This window comes from Homo sapiens, chromosome 15 (genome assembly GCF_000001405.40).
Source record: "Homo sapiens chromosome 15, GRCh38.p14 Primary Assembly".
Taxonomy (NCBI): domain Eukaryota; kingdom Metazoa; phylum Chordata; class Mammalia; order Primates; family Hominidae; genus Homo; species Homo sapiens.
In genome coordinates this window covers 61080498-61094355 of record NC_000015.10, presented here as the reverse complement: position 1 = coordinate 61094355, position 13858 = coordinate 61080498, and the positions used below count along the sequence as shown (strand labels likewise).

At 42.9% G+C, this 13858-nt stretch overlaps 1 protein-coding gene and 1 long non-coding RNA gene across 14 annotated transcripts in view; both read left to right on the top strand.

The window, feature by feature from the left end:
• Positions 1-13858, top strand: part of RORA (RAR related orphan receptor A) — a 741019-nt gene that overhangs the window by 134947 nt on the left and 592214 nt on the right. The window lies entirely within an intron of this gene.
• LOC107984805 (uncharacterized) overlaps positions 1-13858 on the top strand; it is a 129290-nt gene that overhangs the window by 41222 nt on the left and 74210 nt on the right. The gene's annotated exons all lie outside the window — the stretch shown is intronic.

The window sequence follows — 13858 nt, the reverse complement described above, 5'->3', positions numbered from 1 at the left end:
GTAAGGAAAAATACCATTCCAAGGTCAATTTAATGGCCTAGATCTTCCTTCCTAAAACTGGAAGGTGAATCTCTGCCTCTTAAATCTATAGGTCTTTCTGGGGGCAAGACTTCTGACTATTCTGATATCTCCTTGGAATCTATGGAAATCTCATTATTTTTGTTCACTCACATAAAGGAGTAGTTACCCCAGGAATGGATACCTCCTGATGCTCTATGCTTAGGAGAAAAGGCTAAGTCTTTCTAATGAATATCAACATCTTGACCTGCCAGGTTCACCAGCATGAGGCTCTCTCCTGTGCCTAAGTCCTACAACTGAGACAAAGCCCTAGGCCATGTTGAACCTTGGAAAATATCTCTGGCCATCACGTGCCTTGAAGGACTTGGCGACGGAAGCAGAGAAGTTTGTAATCCTCACCTGAGGTCATCTCTGTCTTCTTTAGGTCATTGACATGGCAGACATTGTTTCCTTTTCGTTCAGTATGTGCCTGCCCAAACCCCGTTTCATGGAGTTCTGGAAACTCTGTCAGTGGGTAACAACTACTTGTAGACCTTGTGGAACAAGAGAAAATGTGCCTGCTCCTTTTTCACCTTCTCAGTTGATTAGCTTCAGAGGTGGCCATCGAGTTATGGGTCATGAGAACAGCTTTGCCACACCACCACTTCCAAAGGGTTGATGTGAAAGGTGCTTTCCTCAAGCAAAGAGCAATTCTATAGAAGTCCAGATGAGCATGCTTACTTATTGTTGACCCATCATCTTTAGTTACTACCATATCGGGGTATAGATTACTCTCCTGCATGGTTTTCTGCATGTCCCCTGTGACCGAAGTAACTTCTGAGTACAGGGATGAGAAAGTCACCAGCTCTGTAGCCGCAGCATTGTTGGTCTGTATCTCCAGGCATAGGATCTGGGATAATGCCCAGATAGTCCACCATGTGGCCTCATGCCTATATCATTTGTTTGGCTGGTGCCCTTGGCAGACCCACACCTGACACCTGCTTAGTGCAAGCCCTTGAGCTCTGTCTTAGGGAAACTTTGGGTCTAGCATGGTCTCTTGTGGCACCTAATGCGTTCATATTGGTAGGAACACAGTAATAGGAAAGGAAGTTTATCTTTCTAGTTGGGATTTAAGAAAACTCTTAAAGATGGAAGAATATTACCTTTTTTTGTTTCCTTATCTCTTTGTGGAATAAATGAGTAAATACTGTGACTGCAGTCACATGAGATAGGTATTAGCCATCAGTCTAACTAGAGGATCTAAGGAAACACTTCAGAAGTCCAGGAGAACGAGGCAGCAGTATTGACAGCAGATAGAGGAAGAAGCAGCAGAGTAGATCTGGAAGTGGGGAGTGTTTAAACAAGAGGGCTGGGAGGTGCAATGTCATACTTTATTTATACCTACTTCAGCATTCACCTACTCTGTCACCCTGGAATCCCCTGGAGTTTATCTGGAGAGAGGCACTGTGGAGAGCCCCTAAATCTCCAGCTTGAATTCCCTTAGCACTTGCTTCAAAGCCTCAGATGATATCTGTTGACTGGAGGGGAACAAGGTTTTGACTGTGGTTAGGACTCACCATTCTGTGTATAATGCCAACACCACCCAGGGCAGTTCATAACATTTTAATTTCCTCATAAAATGTGCTTTTATTTCATTTTGCAATATGTAAGCCCATCAGATTGTAGAGATGTAAGTAAATGGGGAATGTTGTTTAAATGGAATCTCATGGAAGGCACACCCAGCAATCATTTTCATTCATATTTTTACATTTCTTTTGGCAGCAAGAATGCAGTGTTTCTCCTTTTCATTTTCATGTAGTGTTATGGGGCATATTCTTTGTGGGTTTAGATTCCAGAGTAGCATATCTGATTTATACTTGATAAAGTGGTGTTTGCCAAGTAATTTTGCTGAAAAGCAGCCACTTAGGCAGAAAGGGAAGAACCTACTATAAAAAGAACAGAGCAGATTATGGAGCTGCAATGTCGTTCATTGGGACCAAGAAATGTTGGTTACCGAGAGACCTAAAAACTAGAAGTTTCCTTGATTAGACTTAGTTTCAGTTTTATTTCACATTTTTTTGAACATACTGCCAGCCTTTAAGTGAGTTTCATATTTGCTTATCACCAGCACCCTTCGTTATTTCTTCCCTGTAAGAATGGTTATAAAACTAAACAATATAGGTGACTATACATTTTATTGTAACCATGGAAACTATTGTTGATGATTTATTAAGCATCCTTTCTCCTGATCCCAAACAATACATTGTGTTGGCCCAAGTTCCCTAGAGGACTGGCTTTTCCATTATTGCATAGACCAACTTTAGCTTTATTTATATCTTGGTTTGTTCAATTGTTTGACTACGGTGTTGGCTTCTGGAAACATAAAAGCTAGTCTTGGGGGCCACCATCAAGTGTTTCAAAGTGTTTAAAGACCATTTTTAACATATGCCATTGTAGAAACAAGTTTAAAAGACCACTTTAACATATACCCTTGTAGGAACAAATCAGGAAAAAATGAACCTTACTTTATCTTTTCCCTTGCCTATGAATACACACAAGCAGTACTTACATTTCTAATAATGGATGGGTATAAAATACTTAGCAGCCCAACGCACTACTAGGCACTCAGCAAAGGTATGTCGAGTCTACCTTTCCTGAATTAATTCTTGTTATGTGAAGTTGCTTGTGGATAAATAAAGAGCATCATGCGAATGCTTCCTGTAGTCAATCTATTAAGGCTGGCTGACTGAGGAAGTCGGGTGGAATAATTTATCTAGTCCCAGGACCTTCATCCCAGAGGTTTCATGGCATCTTCTGCCGGAGCCCCACAGCTGAGGATTGCCCCTGGGAAGTGGGAGTGTGTGTGCCAAGCCCTGGGGTGCACTGGGCTTCCTTCGTTACACAAGTGCTTCCATCAGGCCCAGGCAGTGGCGGAGGGAGTACAGCAGCGCTTACGGACGCCCATTTTGATGGCAATTTGGCAGGGAGTCAAACTTTGGCCCTAAAGCAGAGGTGGTGCAATTAGACAGCTGAGATGCATTCTCTAAACACACACTTTTAATTGATTTCAGCTTGTTCAGTTCACAAAGATAGAGCTCTGACACATAGCAGCCTTCTTAGAGGGGCTTATTTTTACTTTTCCTTTATTCAGCAGCGTAATTCAACGGCAACAGAAGCAACAATAATGCAGAGCTCTAAAGAGTGCGTATTTGGCATGGCTCGGATACAAAAAGTATTATTAAGAACTAATGAGTGAGATAGTTAGATGTTAACCGGAAAAGCATTAATGAGCAGAAGAGAATTCTGGCATAAACATCTGTTTCCGAAGCAGATGTTACCTTGTAAATCTGCTGAAGAAAAGCCTGTGTAAATGGAACAGTGGACTGTTTTAGGTATTAGCAGGGACAGAGTGAGATCATGAGGTTTTCAGACACTGTTTTCAGCTCTTCTGAGACTCATAAATGACTGCGTGTGTCGAGGTGGTGAATTTTGGGGGGCGTTTTGGGGGTGACAAAAGCTATCAGGCAGGGGTGAATAACAGTGGCAGATCACAATGAGTGTGGCTGTGTGACATGGTAGCTGGAGACCACTGATTCCTGTTTCACCGGGAGAGATTTGGGATTCTCATTAACTAAACAGCTTGTCTCTTGTCTCATCTTGTCTAGAGCTCCATAATCATTTCAGTATAGATGGATTTTGGCTGCTGTCATCTCCCTGGGCTAGAGATTTAAGACCTGTTCTGCCTCAACAAAAATTACATAACCTTTGGCTGACTTTATTGTATAGCTTTCTTTACATGGGTGACTAAATGGCCGATAATGAGTTAATGGGCAAGCATTCCCAAATTACACAATGAGTACATTTTAGCAGCCTTAATGCTTGATCCAAGAATCACTAGGTGGCAAGATTCTCAGGGATCTCCAATAGAGGCTGGGGTATTTCTTTTTTTAGAGCCCCCAAATGACAGTGTGTTGGCAACTGCCTCATTCATATTCACAGAGGGGCACCTTGATTTGGGTTATTTTCACTTAGAATCATAAAACTGAGAACTGGAAGGTAGCTTTGGGATCATCTAGTTGATTCAGATCTCTTAGTAAACAGAATAAAAAATACAAGGTCTTGAAAGTGATTCATGCAGCCTGACCCAGGAATTGGTGAAATGGTTGATCCTCAGAACCCAGACCAGGGTTCCTAGACAGGCACTATCCTCACTTTACCCCACTCTAGAGAAAAACTCTTGCATCCTTCTCTGCTTACTGAATATTACGAATGGAGAAATGTCTCTGAAGGAAAAGTCTTCTGGGCAAAAACCCTGGGCTTGCCCCATTTGGTGCTTTGAAAGTTGAAGTGGGGGCTAGAGATAGAGTGAATTCCAGCCCCCAGGTCTTATAGTTAAAGGTTGCCCTTGGATGATTCATTTGCTTAGTTTTATCTACCCTCAGAATGGTCATTGGCCTGGTAATTGGGAATGTTCTACCCTCCATCTTTGGAAAGCTGTATTTGCCAACAGCTTGATGAGGTCAGGGCATCCTTGGAGCCTGCTGCTTGTCACTGCTCGGTGGGCTACAGAGGAACTCAGGAAACCAATCCCAGGACTTCAGAGCCTACGGTGATGGTTTTTGCTGCAGCTGGATAGGTCTGTTCTCCACCACGCACACAAAAATGTGGCTCTGAAACCTTTAAAGGAGAATTTCTTGATCAAGGTGATCTTTTTCATTTGGGGCTACACCAGGACTGCCTTTCTGGGTTCAGGATCTTCTGTCTAGAGACCTTTTAGAAGTGATCTCCAAGGATGGCCTGTGTATTCAAGCAAGTGAAAGGCATCCTTTTCACCTTGCACCAAGTTCCTGAAAGATGCAGGTCTCAGCCATGCAGGTCTCAGCCATTTTCTGTGTATATATATGCATGTTTGTGTGCATGTATGTGCACATGTGTATATGTGTATTGTTCATGCAAGAAAAAGCAATGAACAAAGCTACATCTGTGAGAAACAGGATGTTTTCCCAAGTTAGCAAGGTCTCTGTTCTTCTGTGGAATTCCCTCTCACATAAAACTAAGGCAGGCTTTGAGGAAGGGTGGCCACTTATCTTGGACTTTTTTCTACAGTAGGGGGATTTACTCATATTCACTGGGAGCTTTTTATTATCTCTAAGAGAAACTGGAAAAGCCCAGTTAACAGAAAATTCATTCCTTTTGTTATGCTTGAGGTGCTGATTCATTTATCTTGAAAGAAACTTTGCATGTGTTGTATGGCTCCTGGTATGTCAGAAGTGGGTTTTGTGTTACTTCAGGGGGTCTGTTTTACACTCCCAATGGTTCTGGGGGCACATGTAGCAAACAGAGCTGGTGTTGGGTGTAGACACTGGGGCAGATGTTTAGGAGGCTACCGTTTTGAACAGTGTCAATCGTATTTGTGATTCACAGTCTCCCTAGCAGTGTTTCTCACCTGCATGGTGATGACATGGGTGATTGGGAGATTTTAGAGGTTTGGCTGTGCTTTTCAGTTCCTCTTTTAAATGGCTTCTTCCATCATTATTCAGTGATGATGGAGGAGACTTTAGATAGAATTTTTTAAAGAAAATGGAAGACCTTTTCTTGCTGTACAGAATGAGTGTTTTTCTTCCCTGGTGGCTTCGTTGTTAGTTTACTAGTTTACTAGCCCATTTTGCTCTCAGACCCAGCCATGCCTCCCTTCACCTTCGTATTAATCCTCTGAGGTTCTGTTTACTGATGAGGACATGAGGTTTATGGGATTTGGCAAGTTACTTGAGGTTACACTACCTGTAGGTGATAGAGCCAGAATTTGAATCAAGATCTGCCTACCTCTCTGCTAAGCCCACAGTCTTTCCAGTCTCTACAGCTGTATGTCTCCTGTCGCCCCATCCCCCACCGCTTTTTGCTTCTTTAGTACCAAACTACATGTGCATTCTGGAACAAATCATCCCGTTTCTTGCAGCTGTGGCTTTGTGCAGTTTTTCTTGCATGAACAACACATGCACACACACTTAGAGGCAAACACAAACACAGAGACACACACATGCACACACTTTTCTTTGCTTACATATCTTGCACTGGCCCTTCAAGACTTTGTACAGGCATATGGCCTCTCCTGCGAGCAGACTTCCACAGGTTGTCATTTCGCCCTCTCTGATGGGTCTGTTCTCGAGCTCTGTTTTGACACTAACCATGTCATATTTCATAGATGACCTGTCACTCTGGCCAACATGTGAGTGCCTTGAGGTCAAGGGCCTTGTCTCAGAGCCTAGCCCAGCACCTGGCACATTCAGGCCTTGATAACCCTCTGTAGATCCGAATTGAACCAAGTCAAGAGTGGGGTTTCAAACTGTGTAGCATTGATAACACAGATGACTGGAACTTTAGGAGCTGGCGTAGGCCGTATCCCTGAGCACATCGAGAAATGACTTGCTAACAGAAGACATCTGTGTCTCTCTACTTTTCAAGCACTGTGACAATCTCCAAAAGCAAAAGGTTTAAAGAACTATAACATTTATGGCTCCCTGGCCATAAATTCACTGCAGAACACATAAAAAATGCCATTCCCACAGGGTTATGGCAGAGATTCAGTATTGCAAACATCTGCACATGGGCAGTAAAGCTAACCTCTGGTGTGCAAGCTCGACTGTTAGCAACATATATTAACATTAGTGACAATTGAATGTGATTATCTGAGATGGCATTTTATCTGCCAACTGCAGACTTATGGCTTCTCAAGACCTCATTTGTCCCCTTCCTCATATGTTGTTTTTATATGACTGAAATCACATGCAGAAATTCGTGATTAGTATGGCTCTGCTTTTAGTTTTTGGTGGATATGGGTATGTATAAATTTTCAGTACTTAAATTGATTTTAGCACTTTGAATAGAATAGGCTCTCAAAAGTTTGTTAAAACAGCTGAGTGAATTTCAAAGCATTATGACTTTGCATTTGAAGACACTGCTGAGAGCCAGGAAAAAGGAGTGGGTTCTGACATTGGCTTGACAGGATTGATCCAACAGGTTTGTAATTAATTTATCTGGTAATTGGTTGGAGTATACATGTTATACATCACATCTTTAAGTGTAAGTGTTGTCATTATTTCCTTTCTGTTATTTAAACCAGTATTTTTTCTGTGTAGGGCTAGATAGTAAATATTTTAAGCAAGTCATATGCTCACTTTTTGTTTTGTTTTGTTTTTGTTTTGGAGACAGGGTCTTATTCTGTCACCCAGGTGCAATCATAGCTCACTGTGACCTCAAAATCCTGGGCTCAAGCAAGCCTCCCACCTCAGCCTCTTGAGTAGCTAGGACTACAGGCCACACTGCCATGGCTGGCCAATTTTTAAATTTTTTGTAGAGATGGGACTTGCTGTGTTGCCCAAGCTGGTCTCAAACTCCTGGACTCAAGCCATCCTTCCGCCTTGGCCTACAAAAGCATTGAGATTCCAGGCGTGAACCACCGCACCCTGCCCATATGCTTTTTGTAGGAACTCCTCAGCTCTGCTGTTGTACAATAGAAGTGCCATAGATAATACGTAAACAAATGAGTTTGGCTGTTTTCCAATAAAACTTTATTTAAAAAAAATAGGCAGTGGGCCATAGTTTGCTAGCCCCCAATTCAAAGAAATACAGATTTTTTAAAAGCTATTGGGAAATTTAGAGAAAAAAAAAAAACTTTTTTAGAACTTTTGGGAAAGGACCCCTTATCTGGCTCCCATTCCATTTGGCAATCTCTAAAGCGGCCAAATCAAATTTTAAGTTAAAGAGTAAAATTTTGACTCAAAATTTTATTTGTCCCTGTGCAGTGGTTCTTAATATTTATTTGATTTTAGTTCCTCTGATGCATATAATATTCTTAGTAGCAGTGACTCAATATAGCAAAGATTTTCAAACAGGTAGAGGGGCTGAGAACTCTGGCCTAGTGACATTACTCTGAGTTCATTAAGTTCTCATTTACAACTATGCCTTAGCATAAACTATCGCAGTTAAATAATTAGAATTTCAGATCGGTCAAAATACTTTGGCATCTGAAAGCAGGAGCTTAGAACCAGAATTCCTTCTCAGACATAATCCCAGCATCCCCAGCCCAGTGCTTTTGCTCTTTCGCACCAGGCCAGATAACTCTGTGATCATGGACGTATGCAGGAATTTGTAAATATTTGATGGATGATAGTCAGATTGCCAAATGGCAGAAAGGTTTCTGGTTTTGCAGTTTGAAAAGGATTATAGAGCGGGGAACAAGGTAAATATCTGAAGGTCTGCATGATAGTACTTCTTTTCCTATTGCTTTGGAGTTATTTTTTATACCTCTTTACACAATGTGTGAGACTACCAAATTTACATTGCACTGTTCCAGGTGACTTGTGCAGTTGACAAACTATGACCCAGCATAGCAACCTAGGCAAGAGGAGCCTATATAATTCATTCTTATTCCTATTTTGCTATTTCAACTTGTTTCTGTTTTATAACTGCAAGTGGCCTCCCAGGGGTAGCAACTGTTGGCAACTTAAAGTTAAGCCAGTAGTTCTCCTCACTCCATATCTATGCTGCTTGTCTTTGCATATAAGTGAGTGGATGCTGGGGGCATGGAAAAACAAAACTATTTAAGTGTGGGAGAGGCCTGTGACTTTTGTAGTCCTTTGGGGAATTTTTCACATGACCAGGGCCAAATAGTTCTGACTGCTCTTGTGCCATCCTGGGAATAGAGCAGTGGGATGTAAGGAGTGAAAGGGGCCATGGATCAGTGGTTCTCAAAGTGTGGTCCTCAGACCTGCAGCATCAGCATCACCAGGGAGCATGTTAGAAATGCAGATCCTCAGGCCCTGGCCCCAACCTACTGAATTAAAACCTTTTCAGGCGGGCCCACGAGTCTGTTATAACAAGGTCTTCGGATGATGACTGTGCATAGTGAAATGTGAGAAGTACCGCTTGATTCATCATCCAGCCAGATCTGTCCAGCCCATTTTTGTGATTGTGGAAATTGAGGGCAAGAGTGGGCAGGTCACTTTCCCACCATGAAACAGCTAGCTCAGGGTAGGTGCTGGCCTTCTGATTCCCAGTCCAGACCTCTGCTAGTCACAGTGCCCAGCCAGGTATGCTGTGGGGATGTCAGTGGCCTCAGAAAGAGTGACGACTTGGGACTGATGTCCCCACATGCTGGGGTCACAGGACAAAGGAAAGGGTTTGTGACTTTGAGCTCTCTTCTTACCCTGGGCAACCTCTCTCTCTGTTTAAAAGCCTGGTGACCCTGCTGTGAACTTCCTCTTTTAAATGAACAGCTCCCTAGAGCATCCTTGGCTGAGCTTAGCAACAAGGGGGGAGGGAGTGAGGAGGGGTGGGAGGAAAATGGGCTCCCCCGTTATCATGTCAGTGCAATCACTGGGAATTATGGTTGAGGATTAAGAGTCACTTGGGGATAATTCAGCCAGGCTGGAGAGGGAAACACACACAAATACACACACACTCACAACATAAACAGATTGCTAAAGCTCATGGCAGAAAACAAACAGCATAGGAAAGAAAAAAAAAAAAAAAAAGGATGGGTAGAACTGAAAGGGCCTGAATTTTGAATAGGTGGTATAGGTTCCAGAATGATCTGTTTCCTAAACACTTTTGGTGAAGTTGTATACACAGTGACTAGAGCGGAGCAGCTGCTTCCCCGGTTCTGTGCATTGCTCTGTTTCAGAACTCATAGCATCCCTCTCCTCCAGGCATCTGTTACTGAGAACACTTGAAGATTCTGCCAAGAGAACTCAAACTGGCAATAGAATAGTTGAAATTTAGGAAATGAGACAGAGACATACATAGAGATATTCCTTCGCTTCTAAGAAGATATAGCAAGTCCCACAGGAAAGTGTTAACTATTTCCTATATTTAGGTACCTCTGAAAAAGGTCAAATAAATTATCCATCTCTTGTAATTATCTTTGGGCTTAAACAAAAGACCTCAGAAAGTCAGTGGTTTGCTTTTCCTAGAGAGGGTATGCAATTTGCTCTATCTTTTTTGACTTAGAATCTGTACAGTTGCTACCTAGGTTTTTATTTTCCTGACATGGTGGGTGAATGTCCAGGCAGATGGACTTCTCATCAAGCATGGTTAATGGGATCTAGAAGAATCTTGTGCTTTCCCAAAGAACCAAACAGATGAGAGCACTCTCAAACAGAGAGAGGAAATGATTTGTTCACCATCTCTGAGAGGCTTGACAGAAAATTCGAGTTAGGGGAGTGGCATCGATAGCCCCTCTTGGAGCCAGTCTGAGGTGAGAGAGCTCCCTTCAATATTCTTATGTCTCTCACTTCACGTTACCTGTAAGGGAATAATCTCCATGGTAGGAAGTCCCTTACCAACCTCTTACCCAGCTAACTCTTGGGCCTTAAATGTTGGTTCAACCCTAAAGGGGTGGAGACAGAGCTTTCTGCGCATGAGTGGCTCAGGGTTTGTTTGTGCTTTCTTCATATTATTCTGAAGCCAACCAGAAAGGACTCCTTTTTTCCCCTCCTTTTATGTTCTCCCTCTGTTTTCCTCATGCTTTTAGACTTGATAAACAAGAGAAGCCTACGTATTCCATCTTCTGTTTGTTTTGCTTGAAGAGGCTGACTCTATTTGATTTTTTCTGGGAAGAGCAATTTTCCGTAAGGGAGAAGGTGCTTGGAGAAGTGGGTGGAAGTGTGAGCTGAGGGGGCTTTTTTTTCCCTTTCCTAATTTTCCCCTTTAGTGCCTGAGAACTACAGAATCCTTTCCAGATGAACAAACACAGCAACAGATGTGGAGTCGGCAACAGTGTATTCTGGGGTTATTTGGGTCTGTTTAAATTGGGCTTTTCCTGCACCAGAGGATTTTGTGAAATATGTTAGGCTTCTGAACATGGAGAGATTTCAGCCTCAGATTCAGAGGGACTAAGGAATTAATTACCCCATTCCAAAAAGTCCATAGGTATAGATGGCTTTGTATGAAGGAACTGCTACCTCTTGGCCCAGATCATCTAAAGGAATGGGTCTCCTCTTTTCTCTGATCCCTACCGGAACTAGGCGTTTTGTAATCTTAATCTTGCACTTTGGATTCTGCCTGGAATTTTAATAACATGGTCACTATTAGTGAAGCCAGTGTGACCCATTTGGATGCTTTCAGGCTGGGAGAGGGAAGCCGTGTCAGCCTCGGGACAACGGAACATCAGTCCTGCTTGCCTACTGTGGAGGCACAAGAGAAAGAATCCTGCAGTGAACAGTCAGGCGCAGCCCTTGTCCTCCAGGCACAGCTTTCACAACAATTCCACACCTTTTTGAGAGGGACGCTTTTGTGGTCTCAGATGTGGGCTTCATGTGGAAAGGCGAAAAGGAAGGTTTTGTTTAGCATAGAGCACTGAAGGAGGAGTCAGGAGCCCTTCCATCCCAGCCTGGTTCTATTTTTTAGTATGTCATCTTGGGGAATTCATCCAGCCTCTCCTTCTTTAGAAGCTTTCTAAGCTTCTACTGAGGACAACACTCTCCAATTCTTTCTCAGTATTAAACAGATCAAATCAATTATTCGTATTTTATCTCTTCTCTTAGAATCCTAGAATGTCCTAGAGAAAAGAAATCTAAAGAAATAACCAATTTAATTATAAACATGATTTAGCATCTAAAAAAACATGTTGATATAACTCTTTCTGTGAAAGAGCAACCCCATTGGCCTTTCTCCTTCAGTCCCAATGAAGAACTGCAGCCATCTTTCGGTGTTCATGGGGATTGCTTCGACTGCCTGTCCACACATACTCAAGTGATGAAGTTGGTGCTGCAGAACCCACGTTTACAAAATGTCACTCCTCTGTAGGGGCAGGTTTTGCATCCTGCAAATACTGTATTATTGTGTATGTGGTTTTTTTGTTTGTTTGTTTGAGATGGAGTTTTGCTCTTGTCACCCAGGCTAGAGTGCAATGGTGTGATCTCAGCTCACTGCAATCTCCAACTCCCAGGTTCAAGCAATTCTCCTGCCTCAGCCTCCTGAGTCACTGGGATTACATGTGCCCACCACCATGCCCAGCTAATTTTTGTATTGTTAGTAGAGACGGGGCTTCACCATGTTGGCCAGGCTGATCTCCAACTCCTGACCTCAGGTGATTCGCCCGCCGCGGCCTCCCAGAGTGCTGGGATTACAGGTGTGAGCCACTGCGCCCGGCCAAATACCGTATTTTTGATCTGCGTTTGGTTGACTGCCGTGTGTAAGTGGACCTCGGCAGTCAAACCTATGTCATTTAAGGGGCAACTGTAGAAAGACCTGTCACTACTAAGAAGTACAGCACTTTACAAAATTATTTTTACATATGATTGTCACAGTAAACCTGTGAGGTGACTGTGTAGTATCCCCATGTTTTGGAAATGATTAGTAAGTAGTAAAGCCGAAACCCTAAATATGGGCTGTTTCCCAGCTTTCTAGAATTCTAGTTATTATTATTTCCCAGGGCTAATTTTTACTAATTAATGGTTGTAAATCCTAGTTATTCGAATAATCAACTAGGTGTCTAGCACTTGCTGTATAGGTTCCACTTAGCTTTCTTTCTTTCTTTTTTTTTTTTTTTTGAGACAGAGTCTTGCTCTGTTGCCTAGGCTGGAGTGCGGTGGCGTGATCTCGGCTCACTGCAAGCTCTGCCTCCCAGGTTCACGCCATCCTTCTGCCTCACTCTCCCCAGTAGCTGGGACTACAGGCGCCCGCCACCACACCCGGCTAATTTTTTTGAATTTTTAGTAGAGATGGGGTTTCACCATGTTAGCCAGGATGGTCTCGATCTCCTGACCCCGTGATCCACCCACGTCGGCCTCCCAAAGTGCTGGGATTACAGGTGTGAGCCACCATGCCTGGCCCCACTTAGTTTTCTTTGAAAAGCATAAAGATAGTAGAGAAAAGGAATAATATACACGGGGAAATAAGACCAGTGTATATTCAAAGATCTGCAAATATGTATATTTTTTGGTCCCAAGCTTGTAAACAATTTAAAAAATGACTCACTTTCCTGCCTTTTTATAAGCTGTATCTAGTTCATTTCCCTCTTCCAAATATAAATCCCTAAAGGTTAAGAGTACTCTTATTTTTAAGGCAATAAGGAACAGACAAAGTTAGCCTTTTCAGGTATTTTCATGTAGTCAGAGAAGCTCTCTCCAAGGGAGGGAGGATAAAATGGCCCAGTGCCCTCAGGCCTTTAGAAAACATCTCATGGGGATAAATGCTTTGATTCCCAGCGGTGCAGGAGGTAACAGATGTGAGGCTCTCCATGGCGCTTACCAGAAATATGTATGTACTGTGGGGCAGAACGAGGTACTTTGAAGATTGGAGAATTCGTCGGCCCTGTGACTTCACTTTATTGCTTTCTTCCTGTGCAAAATGTCTCTGGACCCAGAGGGAGAGGCACCGGCCAGACAGTGAGTCAAATGACAAGTTGACAAAATGGTTGTAATTCTAGAAGCTGCAATCCCATCCTTGTCTCTTTATGTAGGGGTGAGGATGAAGCCAAAATCTGAAACAGCTCCCAGGAGAGCAAGAAGATACTGTTACTAATGATTGGGCCGACCTGAATTCTTTCCTCGTTTATTTATGCCAGTCGTTGGTATAAACATCTGAACTGCATCCACATTCACACCCATATCTAGCAACAATGATCTTATTAAGAAAGAGCCAGCTAAGCCATGTAACGTACTCTATACCCACTGTGTGCAGGACGAGCAGCTGACGTCATGGTAGAAAGGCCTCAAAGTGACACTGCAGCCATTCCTCCTTCTTATCTGGAGATTTAATGATACCAGGCACAAGATGGGGCAGCAGAATTTGATGCCGCATTTGAGCCATGCCCTTTTTATTAAGGCCAGATCTATGCAGGTTTGGAAATGGTATCTAT